The sequence below is a fragment of the Homo sapiens genome, chromosome 7 (assembly GCF_000001405.40).
Source record: "Homo sapiens chromosome 7, GRCh38.p14 Primary Assembly".
Taxonomy (NCBI): domain Eukaryota; kingdom Metazoa; phylum Chordata; class Mammalia; order Primates; family Hominidae; genus Homo; species Homo sapiens.
Window position 1 is genome coordinate 35,896,865 of NC_000007.14, and position 25,774 is coordinate 35,922,638.

Sequence of the window (25,774 nt, forward strand, 5' to 3'; positions counted from 1 at the left end):
ATTCATAGCATTATATCACATCTTTGTTCTTGCCTTTTTGTTAAGAAAAACTGGTAGCCAATATTCTGTCCTTTTTGTTTTGTTTCTAACATTTTCTATCTAGCTCTTTTGCCTGCTTCCCTGTTAGAAAAGAAAATTGCTGTGATGGTCAGAAATATTTAGCCTAATAAGGAGAAAAGTCACCATAATAAGAGTGTGTCAAATCAGGGTTAAAATGACTAGCCTTAAAGTTACGGGTGAAATCCAAGGTCTGGTTTTCGTTTTTAAGCCATGAGTTAATTTTTTAAAAAAAATTAGCGTATTACAGTAAAATTTACCCATTTAAAATATAAACCTCAATCAATGGTCAAAGCCTGTTTTTATGGAGGCAAAACAAGCATGCTTTATTAACAAAGCCAAAGAAGGACCTATCTCTTTAGTTTGTCCCAGGGTATTGAATAATTTTCAGAGATTCTCAAAGCAAAGAGCCCACTTCCTGCTCCTGGGCTGAAAGCACTAGGTACTTTGGCATTCTCTTGTGTCTCTGTGTAAGTATATTAGCCTTAACATAAAGCCCACCTGTAAATATATCTCAGTGTGAAAATTTTGAACACAATTCTACAAAGAGATTTGAGTCCATGGACTTCAACGTCAACAGAGTGAACATTTTTTTTTTTAATTTAACTATGCTTATGTCTATTTTTTTGGCATTTAAAAATAATTATTAACAAAATATTTGCTTCTGATTATCTCTGAAGTATGTGTGTGTGTTTTAAATCACTGAACATCTTTAAAACTTAAGACAGTGAAATATTTGAGTTAAGTAGAATGAATTTTCAAGAGCATTGAAGTTATCATAAGGGGCCTAGAAATATTCTGTATGCCTAAATAGTGCTCTAGGTATTGACTAGTAGTTGTTTCCAACGTATCAGTTCAGTTACCAAAATAAATAATAATTTTTGTGTTGTTAGTAGCTGTCTTGGAAGAGATTGTAACACTTGAAATTCTGGTAAAACTAAAAATATTCTACATATGTTAACTTCATTACTCATTTTCTATTTTTCATGGTAAAATGTTGTTTGAAGAACAAAATTAAATTATTTTCTTCTAATGTTTCATTCTGTGAATGTATTTTGGGAATTTTTTTCCCATTTTCCTTCTACAGTTTATTTGGTATGTCATCCTTAGGTTTGATATGCAGTAGGTTTAGAGAACATCTTTGTTTTTTAGATTTTTTTCATAAATAATCAAGTTTTATATATGAAATATGGAAAGAAGTTCTAGGTTATAAATATATTAATAGTGACATATAGCATCTGATTTGTTTTCATCAGCTGTTTCATAGTTCTGTATTATAATTTTTATTCACAGACATTTAATGATTACCCTTAATATTCGTGACAGGAGCCCTCTGGCACAAATGGAAGAAGAAAGAAGGGAGCATGTAGCTAAAATGAAGAAGATGGAGATGGAGATGGAGCAGGTGTTTGAGATGAAGGTCAAAGAAAAAGTTCAAAAACTGAAGGACTCTGAAGCTGAGGTAATCAGTCTAATATCCCATCTCTTAGCAGACATTGTGTTCCTTTTTAAGTAGTATCTTCAGTAAAATTTATAGATAATATAACCTTTTTATACATATTTTTTCAAAATTAATACCCTAGTGTAACAAAACGGATAAATTTCTAGAAGCAAGCACCGTGTTTATAATAAAATAATACATACTTCAATATGCAAGTGCTTGGACGTAGTATATTAGGTAGGACAGTGTAATAGAATACTTATAATGAATTATTAGTTATAATGAACAAGTTTGAGTTGTGAAAAATAAAATTACAAACCATTCCATACAGGTGGCATAAGAACACTAAAGATGAGAGTTTGGGGGTGGATTTATGCACACAAACTGTGTTAGGATAATAATAATTGACCATATTTATTTGTGTATGAGTGAAAAAGAGGGAAATAACCTTTATTGAACTAAAGACATGCCTGGATAAATTCCACACAATTAAAGAAGAGAAAATTAGGGAATGTGATATTTTTGTTAACAGGTTAGGCCTTCTTTATTTATAATGTAGTGTCAAGGTAGTTCCTGGTGTTACAACATTGGGCAGGGTAATGACAAAACATCCCAGAAGACATACCTACTATCTTGAAACCCTTCTAGATGTTGAGTTATACATTTAGTTTCTATTAATCAAAAAGACCTTGGAGACATTTCCTTCAATAGGTGGCAAGAAAGAAAAGTTGGAGAAAAAGATAAACTGAACATTAAAAATCCATAGAGCAGTTAGTTTGATAGATGTCTGAGAATAGTAGAAAAAAAACTATGGGTAATCCCAAAATAACAGTGGTTTCAGTATGAAGTTTTCTTCACATAAATTTGTTATAATTAAAAATTATAAAATAGCCTGGGCATGGTGGCTCATGCCTGTAACGCCAGCACTTTGGGAGGCTGAGGCACACAGATCACTTGAGTTCAGAAGTTCGAGACTAGCCTGGCCAACATGGTGAAACCTCATCTCTATTAAAAATACAAAAATTAGCTGGATGTGGTGGTGAGTGCCTGTAATCCCAGCTACTTGGGAGGCTGAGGCTGGAGAATCGCTTGAACCTGGGAGGCGGAGGTTGCACTGAACTGAGATCACGTCACTGCACTCCCGCCTGGGCGACAGATCAAGACTTTGCCTCAAAAAACAAACAGACAAACAAAAAGCCCTATAAAATAATAAATTATTTTAAAATATGTGAGATGAGGTCCAGGTGTGGTGGCTCACATCTGTAATCCCAGCAGTTTGGGAGGCCAAAGAAGAAGGATTGCTTGAGTCCAGGAGTTTGAGACCAGCCTGGGCAACATGGCAAGACCCAATCCCTATAAAAAATTTTTAAAAATAGTTGGGCATGATGGCCTGCACCTATGGTCCCAACTACTCAGGAGGCTGAGACAGGAAGATTACTTGAGCCTGGGAGATAGAGGCTGTAGTGAGCCATGATTGTGCCACTGCATCCCAGCCTGGGTGACAGAGCTAGACCTTGTCTCAAAATTATATACATATATATATATGGATGACAGTAATATAAAATAGTTTTAAAACAATCTTTAATGATAAAATTTAGTAAGATCCCTGTTTTATGTGGCTTCACTAATATTTGTATCTAAGTGTATGAAGAAGAGATTCAGATCTCTCGTTATATTCTTACAGTTGATCTCATTGCTTTTGTAATTACCGCATAAAATATGGAAACCTTTTTTGACTAAAGGCATAACAAAAGTATGCTAATCCATTGAGTAAATAGAATGCACGGAATGAGAAAGTATTAAATAATTTCGAGGAAATGTTTTTATTCCACATCATTTCTCTTACATTATTGGGCTTTTCTTGTAATTTCTTATTAAAATCTTTCACTGTTGTTATATTTGTTGTGAGTTTAATTTAGCAGGGGTATGGAATAATTCCTCCTGGTTTCAGACGCTGAGCACTACAGGATTAGCATCCCTGGCACTGCCACTAAATGCTAATAGCAGTGCCCTCCTATCATAGGGCAAACCAAAATGTGCATACACACACACCCCTAATCAAAAGTCACTGTCTTAGCTATTGCTGTTGTATTATAAATGAATAATTAAAGTTCTTAACATGACATTTTGGAGATTAATTTATCAGCATGTTGTAAATATATGCATTGAGTCTCTACCTCTTCAGTAATTCACATATAATCTGGAAAATCTATATCCAAAAGGGGGAAAAAAACAGGAATAATCAAGAGTCTACTACATTATCTCCACACTTAGATTCCATTGAGAATCTAAAAGTAGTTTAACTTATATTTGAGGCAGATGTATTTTAGGACATGTTGCTAAAAGTAAATATTACGAACAAGTAATTGTGAACCTGTAGCCAAGGAACCCTTTGGGAATTTTAATGATTACTGTGAATGGTGAAGACAGTTTTGAAGAACTATTCTTTGAAGGATGGAATGTTAACATTTCAAGGACCTGTGAAGAGCTCTGGGCCAAGGTTCCCACCAGATACTCTAAGCCATTAGAGAATTAGGCATGCTCATTCTAGATTCTTTGTCTTTTATGAAACCACATCTAGAGTGTATTTACCAACATCCCTGTGATAATGAGTTTGCAAATCATCATGTATATGATACATGATATATATTGTGTAAATATACGTGTGAATACATAAATAGGTAAAGAAACCCTTTTAGCCTTGTTTAATACAGTCTCTCCTTAAATCCATTATGCTGGAAATACTTGTTTGGGGCACAGCTAGCAGCACAGTACATCAGCCACAGCACCAAGCAACTTTCATTTATTGTGTTGTCTAGTGCACACCACAGCCCTACAAGGTAGATATTATTGCCCATCTCTCCTTTATAGATAAGAAGGATAAATTAACTTAGTATGCCAGCATTTGAACCCAGTTAATTTTTAAGTTAAGCTAGATAGGTCCACAGTCCTGTTTTTCACAATTTCAGAATGGAAAAAACTCTGAAAACTGCAAAACCTAACATGAACTAAGTTTTAATCCTACATATTGTGAATATTTATATATTTTACTGAAACAAATAAAAAGTAATGTGTTTGATTATACTTGTTGCCCCAGATAGCCCAGGAGGTATTTTATAAATATAGTGTATACTCCTTTCTAAGCGGTGTTGTCGTTTTAATAACTGAAAAATGTTGAACTTCAAAAGGCATCTGACCCCATGGGTTTCTTAAGAGTGAGATTGTGACCTGTACCTTTATCTACATGCAGTTAACACAAAAGATAATTACTTATATGTAACAAGTTAAAGAATGATGAACACTGTAAGCCTACTACCTGGCTTAAAAAAATAGAATGTTATCAACTCATTTGAAGATGCTGTGTGCCTGTCCCCTATTGTATCCCTCTCTCTCATTCCCAGAGGTAACTACTATTCCGAATTGTGTATATGTGACTCTTTTCATTTAAAAAAAATAACTAGAGACATTTTCTTATGTTCCTACTTTCTGACATTTCTTAGTAACTTGTTTGCTGTCATCAGGAAGATATCACCTCAGATTTGATTCATGTTTGCTTAAGTGTGTCTTAGGTGATTTTGTTTTGTAGGAATTGCATGAAATAATTGAAATAGGAATAAATCTGAAGTCACTTCGGGCTTGCAAAAAAAAATTGTATGCAAAATTATAGTAACATATATAATATGTATATAATATATAATACATATAATAGTTATATATTAACATTATGTTAATGTTAACTCACCAGTGTAGTAAAATCTGTAACAGAACATAATTCCTGGATAACTGAAGGTTTTGAATAGTCCTTGGGTATTTGGCATAGAAGGATTTAATCTGATTTTTAAAATTTGTTGACTTTTTTTTTTTTCAGAAATGGATTGACTTGCACCTAAATGAAATTACTTATCTAATGATCTCTTGGACTTAAAGCACTTTGTTTCTGCAGTTACTTCGCATGAGTGTTTACTGCCTCTCAGTCAGCATTCTTTACAGTATTAATACACAGAGAAGGAAGGACCAGCTGCATTAGAATCACTGTAACTTGTTGAAAATCCACATTTCCAGACTTAACACCCAGATATTCTAATTCAGTACGTCTGAGTGAGGTCCAGGATTCTATATTTTTAACAAACATCCCAGGTGATTTGCATGAAGACCAATGTCTGAGAACCACTGCTTACAGGAATCAGAGTACTTTGCTGGCATCTTTGAGCTCTTAGGGTCCTAAACTACCTGCTTTCTTTTCACTTGTCTTAGCTTTCTAAACTTGGAATTAGGAGGCTTATTCAAGTCCTGGTTCTTCCACTTTCTGGCTAGCAATCTTGGGCAAGTCACTTAAATTCTGCAACTGTTTCCTCATCTGTACAATGAGAACAGTGATGTGTTCACTGCCCAGCCTCCAACATATTTGTGATTAAAGAAAAACGAGATAAGATAGTAATTTTCCATTATAAAGTACTCCACACTGTTAAGTTTGTTGCTTTTTTTTTTTTTCCTGTTTCCCAAGATTATTGTCTTGGGTCACTGGCCTTTTGGGTGGCAGGTCCTAAAGGAGGAGGAGTCCTTGACCAGAGTACTTCCAGGTAGTACTCTGAATTTACAACAGGGCTATTCAAATAGTGCTCATACTCCTTATCATTAGGGTGTCTGGATGAAACATACCTCTGCTTCTGATTTCTTAAATAGTTTTGTTTTATATATTGTGCTATGATTTAGCTCCAGCGGCGCCATGAGCAAATGAAAAAGAATTTGGAAGCACAGCACAAAGAATTGGAGGAAAAACGTCGTCAGTTCGAGGATGAGAAAGCAAACTGGGAAGCTCAACAACGTATTTTAGAACAACAGAACTCTTCAAGGTAACTAATAGCAGATTACTAAGAAATGTGTGTATTAATGTTTTAAAGAATTGTTTTCCTACTTATTTAAAAAACATTAGAATAACACTTAAAAAGTCATCACCCATTATCATGCATTCCAAACACAATGGTTTTCATAGATAAATATTTTTATATGGATGGATACAGTCTGTGTCCATTAGCAGTATTTTTTCAGTACATCTTTCATGACTTAATATTCATAATTATGATTTAGCAACTTCATAACATTCTCCCCAGTTAACTTACCTTCATTGGATTTCTTACCTCCTCCCCCCAGTTGTTGGACATAAGGGTTGTTTTCAATTTTTGGCACACAAAGGGAACATTCTTCAAAATCTATTACATATTTAGGGGTATGTTTTAACTGTTGAATTATGTTTTTACGATAAAATTCTTAAGACAAAATGTTAGATATTTGATTTCCAATACAACTAATCAATTACTTTCTCTTAATTTATACAAAATTCAATAATATTTGTACCTTGGTTTTCTTTTCCTTAATAGTTTCACTTAAAACTGAAAAGTGGCATTCCTATAAGGATTATATAGTTTATCCTCATTACTAAACATTTTCAGATTTGACATTTGTTCTACTACACTACCCTACTGTTAACATTTTCCCCAAAGAAGAGGAAAATAGATTTGTGAAAGCAATTGCACTTCAAAATGCAAATGACAGTGGGGGAAAAAGAATACCCTGTTTGCTGCCAGTTGATACTTTTTAGTTTGTGCTGTTTCATTTGGGAAGAATTGTTCTTGTATATTAAAATGGAGTTTTGCCTTATTTTTTTACTGCTTATCCTGGAGTTTTGTCAAATATTTGATTGTCTAAGAAAATGCTATTATAGATTAACATTGTCTTAGCTGTTTACTTCTAAATCTTTTAATTTTTTTCAGTGAAAAAGTAGTATCTGAAAATCCCAACATTGTTGTAATTGGGTTAGCTGTTGTTATCATGTTGTCTATCATGTTTATAAAATGGTTACTCATCTTGCTTATTTTCCTTTTATCCTTTAGAACCTTGGAAAAGAACAAGAAGAAAGGGAAGATCTTTTAAACTCTCTATTGACCACCAGTTAACGTATTAGTTGCCAATATGCCAGCTTGGACATCAGTGTTTGTTGGATCCGTTTGACCAATTTGCACCAGTTTTATCCATAATGATGGATTTAACAGCATGACAAAAATTATTTTTTTTTTTGTTCTTGATGGAGATTAAGATGCCTTGAATTGTCTAGGGTGTTCTGTACTTAGAAAGTAAGAGCTCTAAGTACCTTTCCTACATTTTCTTTTTTTATTAAACAGATATCTTCAGTTTAATGCAAGAGAACATTTTACTGTTGTACAATCATGTTCTGGTGGTTTGATTGTTTACAGGATATTCCAAAATAAAAGGACTCTGGAAGATTTTCATTGAGGATAAATTGCCATAATATGATGCAAACTGTGCTTCTCTATGATAATTACAATACAAAGGTTCCATTCAGTGCAGCATATACAATAATGTAATTTAGTCTAACACAGTTGACCCTATTTTTTGACACTTCCATTGTTTAAAAATACACATGGAAAAAAAAAAAACCCTATATGCTTACTGTGCACCTAGAGCTTTTTTATAACAACGTCTTTTTGTTTGTTTGTTTTGGATTCTTTAAATATATATTATTCTCATTTAGTGCCCTCTTTAGCCAGAATCTCATTACTGCTTCATTTTTGTAATAACATTTAATTTAGATATTTTCCATATATTGGCACTGCTAAAATAGAATATAGCATCTTTCATATGGTAGGAACCAACAAGGAAACTTTCCTTTAACTCCCTTTTTACACTTTATGGTAAGTAGCAGGGGGGGAAATGCATTTATAGATCATTTCTAGGCAAAATTGTGAAGCTAATGACCAACCTGTTTCTACCTATATGCAGTCTCTTTATTTTACTAGAAATGGGAATCATGGCCTCTTGAAGAGAAAAAAGTCACCATTCTGCATTTAGCTGTATTCATATATTGCATTTCTGTATTTTTTGTTTGTATTGTAAAAAATTCACATAATAAACGATGTTGTGATGTAATATTGTGTGAGGTCTTAAATATCCTACAGTCGATGTACAAGAGTAGAGTATGTTTGGGAAGAAACTTTTCAGCTTAAGTTTGCCTCCTCTACAATGACATCTTTTATATGCTTGTCTCATTTAGAATGCATATGTGCTGATTTTCTAATTTAAGAGATACCATATCTCTCTATTCATTTCTATCTCTCATTTGTATGCTTATTTTTCTGAGAACATTTTTTTTTTCCCCCAGACAGGGTCTTGCTTCATTGCCCAGGCTGGAGTGCGGTGGCACAAACACGACTTGACTGCAGCCTCAACCCTCTGGGCTCAAGCAGTCCTCCTGCCTCAGCCCCCTGAGTATCTGGGATTGCAGGCGTGCACCACCACGCCTGGCTAATTTTTGTATTTTTTGCAGCCTCCCAAAGTTCTGGGATTACAGGCATGAGCCGTCATGCCTGGCCTCTGAGAACAGTTTCTGACTCATTCAGATTAGGTATACTCTCAAGTCCCTGGAAACTGAAATTTTTTTTAACTGTAAAGAGGGTAGTGTCATTTCTTTTCTTAAGGTCAAGTGACATAGATTTTAATGTAATGCATAATTTAGGTAAGAAATTAATTAATGTAGCCTAGTTTATTATCTTGAAATGTTTTACCCTATTTACTTTTTAAAATTAATGACCTAAGCGGAGGGAATAATTATAAGTCAATAGCAGAGAGATTGTTGTTTGGGTGTTTATTTTTTTCAGTTTTTGTTTTGAGAGATTGGGTTAACACCTCTAGCCAAAATTGTTTGGTTTTAGGGAGGCTAACAATAACCTACTGAATTTGGAAAATGCAAAGGTAAAAAATGTATATAGACTGCCTGCTGAACTGGTTAAGTACTACTGCTTCTGGGAAATACTATTTCAAAATTCTATGTATTATAATAATAAATTTGTAAGACATTCATTATTCTACCATCCTAATGAAAACTTTCAGAAGTCTTTCTTTATCCATGGCATGCCCAGGGTTTTACCTGAATCTGATACAGGATCTATATAACTTTACTAGGACTTTTGATTGTTGACTCCAGGCTTAGGTATATCAGAAGGTTCTTTTTGCCATTTGGCCTGTGGATGTCTGAGAAGATCATTCACAATACATGTAAAATTCAGGTAGGCCTAAGGAAAGGCCAGCCTGTAGAAAGCAAAATGGCAGTGTCTGTTCTCCACTGTTGGAGGCATTATGTAATTTAAGTATCCTGTTAGCCACTGTCTTTCTGCTAATTAAGTGGGGCTGAACAAGTAAGCACTAATAATACCAGTGAACCACTTGGGCACCTTGTGGGTAGAGTTTTGCTGCCACCTAGTGGAATGGGATATCATTGCTTCCATATCAGGTTCACAAGCAAGTTAAGTGGGCACAGTTTATTTCTGTGTAGCTCAGGCTGTAATCTTGAAAGCTGAGGAGATACCCATGCCTCTCAGACTCATTAGCTGGGTGTCACATTACCACCTGCACATTCTGACCCACCGCATCTTAATATGTTTTGTCCTCTTGGAGAAACTAGGAGTAGAAGTCAGGATATGGTAGGTAAGGGGGAAAAAGGAAAGACGGCTTGATAGCTATGAATGCATGAGGAGCGAAATGTTGACTCAGTTATCTAGATCATGGTCTCCAAACCTGATGCTATTTCCTTACAAAAATATTTGTTGAGCATGTGTCCATAATTATATGTATTGAACAATGAAAATATGTGTCAACAAATGTACTGCTACACTAATGTGAACATTATGGAACAAAATTTGAAAGAGTGAAATAAAAGGTTTACACTTTCCCCAAGCTCCAATGAATTATTACTTTGCACGTTGGAGGCCATCGATCTAGGCAGTATGTGGATAGTTAATAGTTATTGTTGAATCACCAAGGAAGGTCCTAGTGAAGACTGCTGTGGTGTCCTACTTGATCTGAAAGGAAAATTTGCCACACCAGTAAATCGAAGTCCTTTCTAATAATAAGCTTGCAAATGTAAGCCCTTGTACTTCATCCAGAATTTTACCTGCCCCTTTTGTAATAAAAACTTCCCATAACTGTCCTGTTCCAGATGGTAACCTAAGTAGTTACATGTGTTATTTAATCCTTAATGATAACAATTGGGTAAGTTATCTCTTAAGGTAACTTATTAATACATTATCTAATAAATGAATAAGTTAAACATCTTAAACCCTGTTTCCTCATCTGCAAAAGGATGAGGAAACTGAGGGTTTAAGATGTTTAGTAGCTTATTCAATAGGTGGTAACTGGCAGAACAAGAGTTTGAACTGGTCTTAGTTACACCAGGGCCTGTGCTTAAATATTACGCCTTGCAAGTACCTGGTCTGCTACACTGCCACATTTCTGAAGCATGATCTTCTACAGAGTTGTTAGCACAGAGCAGATGCTCCCTGATTAAGAGGGGCAGCTGGCCACCAGGCAGCCTGGAGAAGCAGAAAGCACCAGACATGCTAATTGTCTCAGTTTAGACCCCAACTCTGTGAATTGGGCATGTAACTTCTATGAATGTTTTCTCAGCTATAAAACAGACCCCATGCCTTCCTTGCTGGTTTGGAGTGAGGATTACATTGTGACTGCACACGTTAAGGTGTCCAGACCTCGAGAATGTGACAATCTGCTGGGGTCATGACAGACCAAAAAGTATTTCTTCTCAGTTTTAGTGACGGTTTATTTTTAGGAAATGTGCATGGTGCCATGGTAAGTCTCTGGATCTGCTTCTTTGTGCACAGAGATAGTCTTTTGGAGTTACTTCCATGGAAATAAGGTAATTTTGGTCAAAAGAGGAAAGGTGTTAGTAATTGGAGTTATAAAATACACCATTCTTTGTAAGTAATGCCGAGATGGTTTATCAGAGTCTCTCATCTTTAATGAAAACTTTTGCTGCTTTTCAAGCAAACTTGGTTCCCATAATTTGGGATTCATCCACAGAATGTTCAAAGTTTAGTGTCAGCCATTTTCAGCAGAAAATAGAGGCTGACAATTTCCTGTGTTCTTTAGAAGACTTTGAAAGCTTCATGGGAAGAATGAAGACTATTCTTGGCCTGAACATTTGCCCCATGGGGTGCTGGACCCAGCCAAACAGCCTTGTATTGGCAAAGGAGGGTCAAGTGAAAGGAGACCTTGTTCTGCGCCAGGCTCTCAAAAAGGGTAGCCTGAAACCCTATTGGCCACACGGAACCTCTTTTAGATGCTGTTTGTGGACCTGCCGAAATCGAATGCCACTCAGGCTTTCTGAAACCCTATGGGGGTGGGAAGAGGCAGTAGCTGACACCTCTGAGAGCAGAGGTTTGTGAAGATGTGGCATAGATGAGGAGGCTAGCAGAGGGGGGGTAGTCAGACACTACCAACAAACTTCCTTTTTGTTCTCTTTGTTCTCTCTTCGAGGTGGGCCACCCCGCTTAGCTCCCTTTTGTCCAAGTGTGTTGCAAGGGAGCAGCATTTCACCGGGAGATTTGCACGTAAGTAGAGCACAGATTCCCCTGGGTGAGGGGCTGGCTCTCACCCAAGTGTGGGGATACCAAACTAACTTGTTCTGGCAAAGGCATACAACTTTTTTACCCCTCATTTAATTCTGTTGTCTTTGAATTTTTAATGATCTCTTTCATATTTAAATATATGCTGTACTCTAGCGTAGCACAGAAAAGTTCCCTGTGTCTTGGATAAGCCAGTAGTTTTAAGCAACTTGGCAAATGGTGAGTGAAGTAATGAGCACTCTGGCATGGCCCCTGGTGTTAATGTGAGCTGTTTTCCCTGCATTTCAGAAGTCGGAATATATCGGTGGGACATAATAGGAGCTGTCCAATTTTTTTTTCCTTAGGGATAACTCTCAATGTGATTATACAAATCTCTGGCTTACCCTGATAAAGTTAAAAAACAAAACTAAATGTTGTATTCAATATTTTGGGAACACAGTTCTCTCACCCAGACACAAATGAAATCTTCCTTAGACCTTTTTATTGCTGGGCAGAGGTGCCAGGAACTCAAATTGGCATTTTCTCAAATCTCCACCTCATTAGTGCCTATTTAGACCCCATCCCTAAGAGTCAGGTGCTTTGGAAGATGGAATGGAGGCCGCTGATAAAAATCCACTTTCTGTAGTCTCCATTCAGGTATGATTGGCCTGATTATAGCTCATGTCCTGAAAAGGAGATAGGTTTTTTTCTCCAACTTGTAAGAACTGATGAACTCATCCCACCAAATGCGAATGTTTTAGACAGTATTCAAACTGGGAAAAATACCTGCCTATCAAGGGAGAGAGAACTCACTTTGAAGTCTAAGGGAAGGAAACAAAATTGAAAAGTGCTGCAACAAGTGTTTGTGGAGTACTTGCTGTGTGCCAAATACAGAGCATTCACATAGATTGTGAACTAGAGCTCCTGAGAAGGTTATGACATGGGCATTTCCACCTCTTTATAAAAACAAGCAAGCTAAAATATCACGGTGTGATTCCATAACATTTGTATTTGTTATCCATTGTTCCACAATAAATGCCCCTCAATCCTGGCAACAAAATTTAAACCACAACAATCTGTAATAGTAACATTCATTATCTTAGTTTCTGCAGGTTAGGAATTAAGCGGTTTAGCTGGGTGGTCTGGCAGGGTGCCTTGCAGTAAAGATGTTGGCTGAGGCTACAGTCAACTGTGGGCTTCAATGGGGCTGGGGGATCTGCTTCCATGATGGCTCACTGACATCACTGGCAAGTTGACGTTAAGAGGCCTCAGCCCCTTGCCACATGGACCTCTCCACAGGGCTGCTTGAGTGGCCTTGTGACATGGTGGCTGGCTTTCTCCTAGAGCAAGTAATCCAAGAGAGAGCAAGGCATAAGCCACATGGCTTTTATGACCCAGCTCTGAGAGTCACACACATGATTTCCCAATATGCTATTGCTAATGCAGCTTAGTCCTGTTCAATGCATGAAGGAGCTGTACAAGAGCGGGCGTACTAAATAAAGGTGGCACAAATACAGCAAGCTTTTATAAATAGTCTTATTTGGCAAACCCATTTAGCTGACTTTCTGGGTATTCTTGATAATCATTTTCCTAAAATGAAACTATTTCAGTTTTTGAAATTAGCTAATTGGATTCTCCCTAAAATAACTAAATTTAAACCAATTGAAGGTGCTGATAATGTTTTTACAGATGGGTCTAGTAATGGTAAAGCTTCTTATTCTGGTTCAAAAACTAAAGTTTTCCAGATGCCCTATACTTCAGCTCAAAAAACAGAGCTGGTAGCTGTAATTGAGGTATTGACTGCTTTTAATATGCCTATTAATGTGATTTCTGATTCTTCATATGTGGTTCATTCCACACAGTTAATTAAAAATGCTCAGTTACAATGTCAAACAGATGAATAACTGATGACAAAAACAAAAAAGGGGGAGAAACAGGGATTACGGGACAGCCCATATACAACTGAATCTAGCATTATTAACTTCAAATTTTTTGAGCCTGCTGAAAGGCCAGATGTTATCAGTAGCTGAACAGCATCTACAGAAACCAGCTGCAAAGACAGAAGCAGAACAACTGGTTTGGTGGAGAGACCCGATAACAAAAAGTTGAGAAATAGGTAAAATAATAACTTGGGGTACAGGCTATGCTTGTGTTTCTCCAGGCCAGAACCAGCAGTCGATTTGGATACCATCAAGACACCTGAAACCTTATCATGAACCAGATGCCAAGGAAGAGATTCTGGAAGGATCCTGAGGACCCCCCTGGTTGCAGCCATGTCAAGACTGATGCTGAGGAGGACCCCAACTGTCACGAGCAACACCCATCAAACACAGCCACCCACCTGGGGACAGACCAAGAAGCTGCCACAGATGGCAGAAGAAAACCTGAAGAAAGCAGGACAACCAGTCACAATGAGTAATTTAATGGTAGCTATGATAGCGGTAATCACCACTGCTGTGAGTATTCCTTCAATAAGGGCTGACACAGGGAACAATTATACTTATTGGGCATATTTATCAATCTTGGCTGGCAATAATGCCTGGATGTAATCACTCTATGATGCAGTTACACATGCTTTCTGATCTCAGTATTTACCATAACAAATCTGCTCCTATATTTGAGGCATACTGCCCTCAAAAACCTATTTGTAAACAGAACTGGACCTGGCCAGAAAAAAATGAACGTACTTGTTTAGGAAGATTGCATTGCAGAACATGCAGAGATGCTGCACAATGATTCCTATGGAATCATTATTAATTGATCCCCTAAGGGGATGTTTAGCTTAAATTGCACCTCTCAGTCCGTGTGCCACGGCCACACTATGTTCAGCTGATCTGAACAAAACGGCCAGATGGTACATATAATAAGAAGTATGGCAAGAGTTCCTATTATCTGGAACCGTGGCAGTATAGTGACACCTCAACCTCAAATGATATGGCCCACTGTAGGAGCTAAACATTAAGGATTTGTGGAAACTATTAATAGCTCTTAGTAAGATCAAAATTTGGGAAAGAATAAAAAAGCATCTAGAAAGACACTCTACAAACTTGTTTTTGGATATTGCAAAATTAAAAGAATATTTAAAGCATCCCAGACACACCCGACCTTAATGCCAGGATCTGGAGTGCTTAAAGGAGCTGCAGACAGATTAGCAGCTAGTAACCCATTAAAATGGATACAAACACTTGGAAGCTCTGTGATTTCAATGATGATTGTGCTTTTAATCTGTGTTGTTTGTCTTGTATAGCCTGCAGATGTGGATCCTGACTCCTGAGAGAAGTAGCTCACCGTGACAAAGCTGTCTTTGCTTTTATCGATTTGCAAATCAAAGAAGGGGGACATATTGGGAGCAGGCCTCCCAAAATCTGGCCATAAACTGGCCACAAAACTGGCCATAAACAAAATCTCTGCAGCACTGTGACATGCTCATGATGGCCATAACGCCCACGCTGGAAGGTTGTGGGTTTACCGGAATGAAGGCAAGGAACACCTGGCCTGCCCAGGGCAGAAAACCACTTAAAGGCATTCTTAAACCACAAACAATAGCATGAGCGATCTGTGCCTAAAGGGCATGTTCCTGCTGCAGATAACTAGCCAGACCCACCCCTTTATTTCTGGCCATCTCTTCATTTCCCATAAGGGATACTTTTAGTTAATTGAATATCTATAGAAACAATGCTAATGACTGGCTTGCTGTTAATAAATATGTGGGTAAATCTCTGTTCGGGGCTCTCAGCTCTGAAGGCTGTGAGACCCCTGATTTCCCACTTTACACCTCTATATTTCTGTGTGTGTGTCTTTAATTCCTCTAGCACCACTGGGTTAGAGTCTCCCCGACTGAGCTGGTCTCGGCACTTCTCTTTGCCTTGAAAGCAGGTACAGCGGACCTTCCTGGCATCAGAAAAAGGCCTCCAGAAAAAGAGACACAGGTACTAGCAATTGCAAATTATCCAGAGCCCTTCTAAGTTGTAAGATCTGAAGGAAATGTCTGCCATCTATATTCTCAGCCACACTTAGTTTCTTAATCTGCAAGATGGAATTAATAATAGTACTTACTTTATGACGCTGTTGCAGAAATTCATTGAATTGCTACACGCCAAACACTGAGAACCCAGCTGGGCATATAATAAGCATTCTATTGCATGGCATTATTGCCATCATTTTTACTTCTATTACTGCTACTGCTTGTAACTGCTTGTGCTTTTTTGATATGAAAGTCCACCATCAGGGAGCACTGTAGTGGAAAAGGTATTAGGCCAGGCATAGCCTTTAGTTCTCTGGCCTTGGGTCCTTCATCTGTGATATTCAGTTAACAATACCTAGCCAGTAGGGGTGTTAAAGATTAAATAAATGTGAGAATGTGCCTGTTGCTTAATCTTCCTCAGAGGGTTATGGACTCTCAGAGCCACAAGAAGGTCATCTCTCCTTTGCTCCTCGTATGCTGGGATCTGCCACATCAATGGCAACAGGTGGGCCTCCAGAATTTGCTCCAGGTGTTTGGAAGTCCTGACACCCTCCTGATCTTCTCTGTAACATGCACACTTTGGCCTGTGTCAGTTTGCTGGAACCACATCAGGCCGGCCCTCTTCCTGGGACAAAATTCTTTCTTTTTATCTTTCTTTCTTTCTTTCTCTTTCTTTCTTTCTTTTTCTCTCTCTTTCTTTCTTTCTCTTTCTCTCTTTCTTTCATCTTTCTTTCTTCCCCTTCCTTCCCTTCCTTCCTTCCTTCCCTTCATTCCTTCCTTCCTTCTTTCTTTCCTTCCTTCCTTCTTTCCTTCCTTCCTTCCTTCTTTCTTTCCTTCCTTCCTTCTTTCCTTCCTTCCTTCCTTCTTTCCTTCCTTTCTCTCAACTCCAGTGTCCTGGCTGAAGTGCAGTGCACTGAACATTGCTCACTGCAGCCTTCACCTCTTCAGCTCAAGCGATCCTCCAACCTCAGCCTCCCAGTAGCTGGGACTACAGATGCATGCCACCATGCCTAACTAATTTTTGTATTTTTTGTAGTAACAGGATTTCACCACATTGCCTAGTCCAGTCTCAAACTCCTGGCCTAAAGTGAGCCTTACACCTTGGCCTCCCAGAGTGCTGGGATTACAGGCATGAGCCACTGCACCTGCCCAGGAACAGAATATTGACCGCCATTTTAAAAGAATTCAAGAAGTTTGCTTGAATTCACGATCAAGCAGCTCACCAGCTGGGAATAATATAATGCCAATTTTTAGAGTAATGGCTAAATAAATCAGGATATAGCCATAGAACAGAATACTATGTAGAAAGCGAGAATGAAGTATTCCTTTATTTCTTCTTAAGGAAATACGTCTAAGCATAACATTGAGAAAGAATGAGGTATTCCTTTATTTCCTATTAAAGAAAGAACTCTAATCATAACTTTGAGTGATAAAAGCAGGTCATATGCTATAATAACATTTAAATAATGCACACAAAATATAGCATATTTTAATTATATAGGAATGTTTATATGCATTCCATATTGTGACAGTTAATTTTAAATATCTCATGGCTAGGCCATGGCTGAATACTATCTTAGATGTTTTTGTAAAGGTATTATTTAGGTAAGATTAACATTTAGATCAGTGTACTTTGAATAAAACAGATTACTCTCCATAGTGGGATGGGCCTCACTTAATCAGTTGAAGGCCTTAAAAGAAATAAGGCTGACCTCCCCCAAGGAAGAAGGAATTATGCCTCCGGGCTTTCTTTGGACTCAGGGTGCAACATCACTTCTTCCCTGGGTCTCCACACTGATGGCTGGAGTTACCCTGCCTGCATATTTTGGACTTGCCAGCTTCCACAATTGTGTGACCCAATTCCTTACAATAAATCTCTCTCTCTTCTCTCTTTCTGTCCCTCTCTCTCTCTCTCTCTCTCTATATATATATATACACACACACACATAAATATATATAGATTATGTACACATATGTATATATACATAAACCTATGTATACATACCTATTCCTTACCAATTCCTTACAATAAATCTCTATTCTCTCTCTTTCATTCTCTCTCTATATATGCATACAAGTATATAGATATGTACGTGTGTGTATATATACATAAATATATGTATACATAGATATGTGTACATAGATATGTATGTGCACGTAGATATGTGTATATAGATATGTATTTGCACATATGTATATGCACACGTATCCATGCATACCTACATATATTTATGTACACATATGCATGCGTGTGTACACATATAATGTATGTGTACATATATGTATACATGCACGTACATATATGTATATATGTATATATACACAGATGCATGCATGTACATATATGTATATATGCGTATGTACACAGGTGCATGTATACATGTGTATATATACATGCATATACACATGTATACATGTGTACATATATATACACACATATACATATATGAAATAAAGGGGTGGGTCTGGCTAGTTATCTGCAGCAGGAACATGCCCTTAAGGCACAGATCGCTCATACACATATATATATATACACACACACATGCAAATGTTCACCCATGCACCTGCTCATACACACACACTTCTGGAATTGGGTAGGGAAGGAAGGACAGTAGGGACCAGGGACATTTTAGACTTATCTGAATTGTTTTCATTTTTTAACAAAGAAAACTTACGCAAGCATTAATTTTGCAATTAAAAGGCATTCAAACATTTTGCTGCAGGCACTGACCAATATCCCCTGTGAAATATCACTAATGTCATGTTACTTACCTCTGTTAATGTTACGAAATTACACTATTTCTGTTTTCTGCTTTCCTAGTTTCCTGTTGCACCGTTTTTCATCTCTGCATGGTTCCACTGTCATCTAGCTTTTTGAAAAACTCATTTTGTTTGCTCTCCTTCCAGGTCCTGGCTTCCTGTCCTGGCCATCCAATCATATCCACCGCAAACAGGCCTTGTTCCTCTGTCACTGCAGGCCAGCTCTGAACCGTCTCTTTTCTTCCACTGACATAGAAAGATGAGATGTGTCAGCACCCTTGCAAACATGAAAGCCTAGCCAGTGAAGTGCTGAGTGCTGGAAGCTTTGCCTGGGGCATGAACAGGTAGAGAAACTGCAGATTCTGTGTCAGATGAAGTGACTCAAAGGGACAGAATGGCCATCTTTGGACAGTTTAAGAGCTTTTATAAGGAAGAGGAATCAGAACTCACTTCATGTGGTGCATGGTGCCAAATCAACAAGATAAGTGTTCCCAGGAAGCAGATTTCAGCCCATCTCAGCTCACTTCAACCTCTGCCTCCCGGGTTCAAGTGATTCTCCCACCTCAGCCTCCCGAGTAGCTGGGATTACAGGTATGTGCCACCATACCCAGCTAATTTTTGTATTTTTAGTAGAAACGGGGTTTCACCACATTGCCCAGGCTGATTTTGAACTCCTGAGCTCAAGGGATCCACCCACCTCGGCCTCCCAAAGTGTTGGGATTACAGGCTTGAGCCACAGCGCCTGACCTATATGCGTATTTTATGTCCAAATTAAAAAGGACTATAAATAAATATGAGAGTCTTGTTATGTGTGCTGAAGTGTTTAGGGGTGAAATGTACTAATGCTGCAATTCATTTTGAAATGCCTCCAAATAGGATGGTTTGAGGGATGGATAGTTGAATAGATTATATGATAAACTGAGCATAATGAAATGATAATTGTAGACTTCAGGGGTGGGTATGGATGTTCACTGCAAAATTCTTTCAACTTTTCATTAAGTTTGAACATTTCTTAAGAGTGTTAATTCATTTATTTTTTAGAGACAGGGTCTTGCTCTGTTTCCCCGGCAGGAGTGCAATGATGTGATCCTAGCTCACTGCAGCCTCAACTCCTGGGCTCAAGGGATGCTCCCTTCTCAGCCTCCCAAGAAGCTGAAACTACGAGTGCGCTCCACTGCATTTGGCTAATTACCCAGGCTGGTCTCAAACTCTTGTCCTCAAGTGATCCTCCCACCTTGGCCTCCCAAATTGTTAGGATTACAGGTGTAAGCCCCACACCCCAAACGTTTTTATAATAAAACACTGAAGGGAAATTCTGATGCTGAGACCCTGCACTTACATCTGTTAATGAGATCTTTCCTCAATTAAATATGCTGCCATTGGAAATTGGTACATTTCTTCGTCAAGGGCAACAGTTTGTCAAGGGCAACATACACATATTCCTGGGAGAAGTGACACTGTGGGAGATTGTTGAGCTTTTTTACCCCTAAAAATGAACTTATCGGGGAATACGTTCATGATCTCTCCACAGGTTCTAATAATGAGGGGAGACCTGGGTTCTGCACCTGGCCTTGTTGTCGTGGTTACTGTTGCTTTCAGGCAATGGCACCTGTTCTCCAGGTGTGAGTCTGGACTTGTACTTGCTTTAGCCATATATGGCCACCAGAGGGCGCAGTTACCCCACAGTTGCCTGGAGCATCCACACCCCTCAAACTCACAGCTTGAAATGTCACCTGCAGCCGTCTGAGGTCATCCACGGTTATTTTCTTTTTCTTTTCTTTTCTTTTCTTTTTCTTTCTTTCTTTCTTTCTTTCTTTCTTTCTTTCTTTCTTTCTTTCTCTCTTCCTTCTTTCTTTTTTCTTCCTTTCTTTTTCTTTCTTTCTTTTTCTTTCTTCTCTCTCTTTCTTCTTTCTTTCTTTTCTCTCTCTCTCTCACTCCCTTCCTTCTTTCCGTCTTTCCTTCTATCCTTCCTTCCTTCTCCCCTCCTTTCCCCTCCCCTCCTCTCCCCTTCCCGAAAGAGTTTCGCTCTTGTTGCCCAGGCTGGAGTGCTGTGGCACGCTCTCGGCTCACTGCAACCACTGCCTCCTGGGTTCAAGTGATTCTCCTGCCTCAGCCTCCCAGGTAGCTGGGATTACAGGTGCCCGCCATCATGCCCGGCTAATTTTTGTATTTTTAGTAGAGACGGGGCTTCCCCATGTTGGCCAGGCTAGTCTTGAACTCCTGACCTCAGGTGATCCACCCTCCTTAGCCTCCCAAAGTGCTGGGATGACAGGTGTAAGCCACTGTGGCTGGACATCCACGGCTATTTTCCTCATGCCTCACCTTCCCCTGTTGGTTCAGTGACCCTCAAAGGACAGAGCCTCTGTGCCATGGGCCCTTCCCCTGGATCTGTGCATTGTCTAATATGACTGGACCCTCCTCCTCACCCCTCATCCTGCCCCAGCTCCTCTGATGACATCATCGGCTCTGGAACTGCCACTCAGCCTCTTGCAAGAGGGTCCCCTCCCTCCGACCCCACTGTCCCCTCAGGACCCCAATTCCGCTGGCACCATCTGGTGCAGGGAGTCTTTTTTTTCTCCTATACCCCACATACCGCAGAATCTAAAGTAGGGTCTATATCCTCCATGCTTCCTGTGGTTGCGTCCAAGACATTTCTCTTCCAAAGGCAGCAGAGTCACCTGCTGTCCCTCTCGGTGACTGCTGTCTGCTGGTCTTCTGCTTACACCTCCTCATCCACTGAGGACTTGGGCTCTCAGTTGACAGTGTTCTCCATCATTCTTGTCATGTCGTTAGAGGGATTGCTGCCTGGCAACCCCTCTACATTCCCCAGGAGGTTTGCAACAGTGATTTCATACAAGACGTTGGCGTCGTCACCCACGTGGACATGCCAGGCTACTCCCTGAGGGCGTCATCACCCACGTGGACAGGCCAGGCTACTCCCCGAGGGTGATGTCACCCACGTGGACAGGGCAGGCTACTCCCTGTCTCTCTGGGCACCAGGACTGCTGCAGCTCCAGTGACCTTTTCCAGTGTGCCTCTCAGCCACCTCTCCCTGCCTGCGGTCACACCTGGGACCCTCCATCACCCAGAAAGGAGACTTCAGACAGCTCCCCACTGACCTCTCTCGTTCCAGAACTCTCCACTTGGCCTCATCACCTCACTGTCACTCTCTCTGTGTCCACTGCCTTCCTTAATCATCGTTCATAATTAAAATCAACTCCTGCAGGGCGAGGTGATTCACGCCTGTAATCCCAGCACTTTGGGAGGCCGAAGCGGATGGATCACTTGAGGTCAGGTGTTTGAGACCAGCCTGGCCAACATGGCGAAACACCCGTCTCTACTGAAAATACAAAAATTAGCCAGGTGTGGCGGTGGGCACCTGTAATCCCAGCTACTGGGAAGGCTGACGCAGGAGAATCACTTGAATCCGGGAGGTAGAGGTTGCAGTGAGCTGAGATCACACACCACTGCACTCCAGCCTGGGTGACAGAGGGAGACTCCTTCTCAAAAAAAATAAATAAGTAAACTCCTTTTTCTCTCTCTCTCCTGACATTGTTCCCCTCAACAAGGGTGACATGAACGGGCTAGATGTCTTGCGTCTGCACCTGACAGCCAAGCATCACTGGGAAAGCACACACTCAGCTGAACTTTTACTTTATTTATTCATCTATTTATTCATTTGTTTATTTATTTTAGAGACAGCTTCTCACTCTGTCACACAGGCTGGAGTGCAGTGGTGTGATCAGAGCTCGCTGGAGCCTCCACCTCCTGGGCTCAAGCGATCCTCCCACCTCAGCCTCCCTGGGAGCTGGAATCATAGACGTGCACCACACCACGCCCAGCTGATTTTCTAATTTTCTGTAGAGATGAGGTCTCATCATGTTGCCCAGGCTGCTGTTGAACTCCTGGCCTCAAGCAATCCTCCTCACCTCAACCCCTCAATGTGCCGGGATTACAGGTGTGAGCCACCATGTCTGGCTGTACTGCCCAGGCTGGAGTGCAGTGGAGCGATCTCGGCTCACTGCAATCTCTGCCTCCTGGGTTCAAGCGATTCTCCCACCTCAGCCTTCTGAGTAGCTGGGATTACAGGTGCCCACAACCATGCATGGCTAGCTTTTATATTTTAAGTAGAGATGGGGTTTCACCATGTTGGTCAGGCTGGTCTCAAATTCCTGGCCTCAGGTGATCCACCTACCTCGGCCTCTCAAAGTGCTGGGATTACAGGAGTAAGCCACTGAGCTCGGCCTGGCCAGACTTTCACTTTAAATTCACAGACTTCAAGTAGGCTGCCTGGCAACCGCTTTATATTCCCCCAGGAGGTTTGCAACGGTGATTTCATACTTCCTCTCTCTCTCCTCAAACCTCCTGTGCTTCCTTCCCTCCCTCTCTTCTGCTCAGCTGAAGCTCACTTCTCTAACGTTATTAGAAGCCATCAGAGTGAATATTCTTTTTTTTTCTCTCTCTCTTTTTTGAGACAAAGTCTTGCTCTGTCGCCCAGGCTGGAGTGCAGTGGTGCAATCTCACTCCAAGCTCCGCCTCCTGGGTTCACGCCATTCTCCTGCCTCAGCCTCCCTAGTAGCTGGAACTACAGGCGCCCGCCACCACGCCCGGCTAATTTTTTGTATTTTTAGTAGAGACGTGGTTTCACTGTGCTAGCCAGGATGGTCTCAATCTCCTGACCTCGTGATCCGCCCACCTTGGCCTCCCAAAGTGCTGGGATTACACGCGTGGACTGTGACCGGCCCAGAGTGAATATTCTTATCTTCCCACCACCCACCGACTGTGTCTCTGTTCCTTCCACTGTCACTGTGTAATAATTGCCCTTCTGGGGCTGGGCATGGTGGCTCATGCCTGTAATCCCAGCACTTTGGGAGGCTGAGGTGGGAGGACTGCTTGAGGCCAAGAGCTTGAGACCAGCCTGGGCAACATAGTGAGACTCTATCTCTACAAAAAGTTTAAAAATTAGCAAGGGTCTGGGTGCGGTGGGTCCCGCCTGTAATCCTAGCACTTTGGGAGGCTGAGGCGGGCGGATCACCTGAGGTCAGGCGTTCAAAACCAGCCTGGCCAACATGGTGAAACCCTGTCTCTACAAAAATACAAAAATTAGCAGGGCCTGGTGGCATGTGCCTGTAATTCCAGCTACTTGGGAGGCTGAGGCAAAAGGATCACTTGAACTCGGGAGGCGGAGGTTGCAGTGGACCGAGATCGTGCCATTGCACTCCAGCGTGGGTGACAGAGCAAGACTGCATCTCAAAAAATTAAAAAAAATAAAAATAAAAGTTAGCAAGGCATGGTGGTGTGCACCTGTGGTCCCAGCTACTCAGGAGGAGCTGGGAGGATCTCTTGAGCCCAGAAGTTCAAGGCTGCAGTGAGCTGTGATTGGGTCACTGCACACCAGCCTGGGCGATGGAGTGAGACCTTATCTCTTAAAAAAAAAAAAAAAGAATTGTCCTTTTGATTGATGAAGCCGCGGACCACCCTGAGCTGTGCTTCCTATTCCTTCTGGCTTTCCCAAGCTTTTCTTGTCCACCGGAAGCTTTCACTAGAAGGTAGAGGACTGGCTCTGTAGTTGGGAACTACAGTTGGGAACATTCAAGAATATTCTATTAACATATTTACATTTTTTAAATATTTGGTTTTAAGAATATCAGCCCCCTTGGCCCGGCACAGTGGCTCACGCCTGTAATCCCAGCACTTTGGGAGACTGCGGTGGGCCGATCACCTGAGGTCAGGAGTTCAACGTCAGCCTGACGAACATGGTGAAACCCTGAATCTACTAAAAAAATACAAAAATTAGCCAGGTGTGGTGGTGGGTGCCTGTAATCCCAGCTACTCGAGAGGCTGAGGCAGGAGAATTGCTTGAACCCGGGTGGCAGAGGTTGCAGTGAGCCGAGAGCAAGCCACTGCACTCCAGCCAGAGCAACAGAGTGAGATGCTATCTCCAAAAAAAAAAAAAAAAAAAAGAATATTACTATCAGTCACTCCTTGATATAACTGGAGATCTGAGATAACATAACAGCTGTGGCACCGCTATGAACCAGAGAGAGGACAGGAGGCTTCCCCAAGGGCAGCTGTAGTTCAGTAATCCGTTAACAAAAGTCTCCCTTCTAAAGTCTCCACCATTTTTTTTAAGACAGAGTCTCACTCTGTCACCCAGGCTGAAAATGCAGTGGCACGATCTCAGCTCACTACAGCCTCTGCCTCCCAGCTTCAAGTGATTCTCCTGCCTCAGCCTCCCAAGTAGCTGGGACTAAAGGCATGTGCCATCACGCCCAGCTGATTTTTGTTTTTTTTTTTTTTTTTTTAGCAGAGTTGGGGTTTCACCATGTTGGCCAGGCTGGTCTCAAACTCCTGACCTCAGGTGATCCTCCCACCTCGGCCTCCCAAAGTCCTGGGATTACAGGTGTGAGCCACCGTGCCCGGCCTAATTTTTGTATTTTTAATACAGATGGGGTTTCACCATGTTGGTCAGGCTGATCTTGAACTCCTGACCTCGAGATCCACCCGTATCGGCCTCCCAAAGTGCTGGGATTGCAAGCGTGAGCCACCACGCCAGGCCTTATATGTGTTTTTCTAAATGCACTTAGAAATCAATGGGTAGGGCTTGGCTGCTTTAGGAAACCGTTCCAGAACTCTACTCTGCCCATAGACCCAGAAAAACACAAATGAGGACAAATAAGGAAAGCTTAGGTTTTCCCTGGAGAAAGAGGAAAGGTAGAAACAGACAGGACCAGACGACCGGCCAGACAAGACCACGTGTAAGTGCCAAAAGAACCACACAGGCCACGCCTTTAATTCCAGCACTTTGGGAGGCCAAGGTAGAAAATCACTTGAGGCCAGGAGCTTGAGGACAGTTTGAGAACAGCTTGGGCAACATAGCAAGACCCCATCTCTACAAAAAATTTTTTAAAGTCTGGGTATAGTGGCTCATACCTATAATGCCAACACTTTGGGAGGCTGAGGTGGAAAATTGATCACTTGAGCCCACAAGTTCAAGACCAGCCTGAGCAACATAGTGAGACCCTGTGTCTATAAAATTTTTTTTAAATTAGGCATGGTGGCCTACATCTGTAGTCCCAGCTACTTAGGAAACTGAGGCAGGAGGATCCCTTGAACCCAGGTTGATGCTGCAGTGAGCTG

General features: G+C 40.6%; 1 protein-coding gene across 11 annotated transcripts in view; it reads left to right on the forward strand.

Annotated features, from left to right (window-relative positions):
• SEPTIN7 (septin 7) overlaps nt 1-18,899 on the forward strand; it is a 114,778-nt gene extending 95,879 nt beyond the window's left edge. For 4 of the 11 annotated variants that reach the window (XM_047421095.1, NM_001788.6, NM_001363715.2 and 1 more), the window contains 3 exons: nt 1,384-1,519; nt 6,212-6,351; nt 7,390-10,246. In XM_047421095.1, coding sequence (XP_047277051.1) covers nt 1,384-1,519; nt 6,212-6,351; nt 7,390-7,429 — 316 coding nt within the window. In that variant the 3' untranslated portion in view covers nt 7,430-10,246. Of the gene's footprint in view, nt 1-1,350; nt 1,520-6,211; nt 6,352-7,389; nt 10,247-15,786; nt 15,840-16,297; nt 16,380-18,781 lie in introns of those variants that run through there. The other 7 variants (XM_006715806.4, XM_047421097.1, NM_001011553.4 and 4 more) reach the window with 5 other exon arrangements.
• Nucleotides 18,900-25,774: the final 6,875 nt, after the last annotated feature.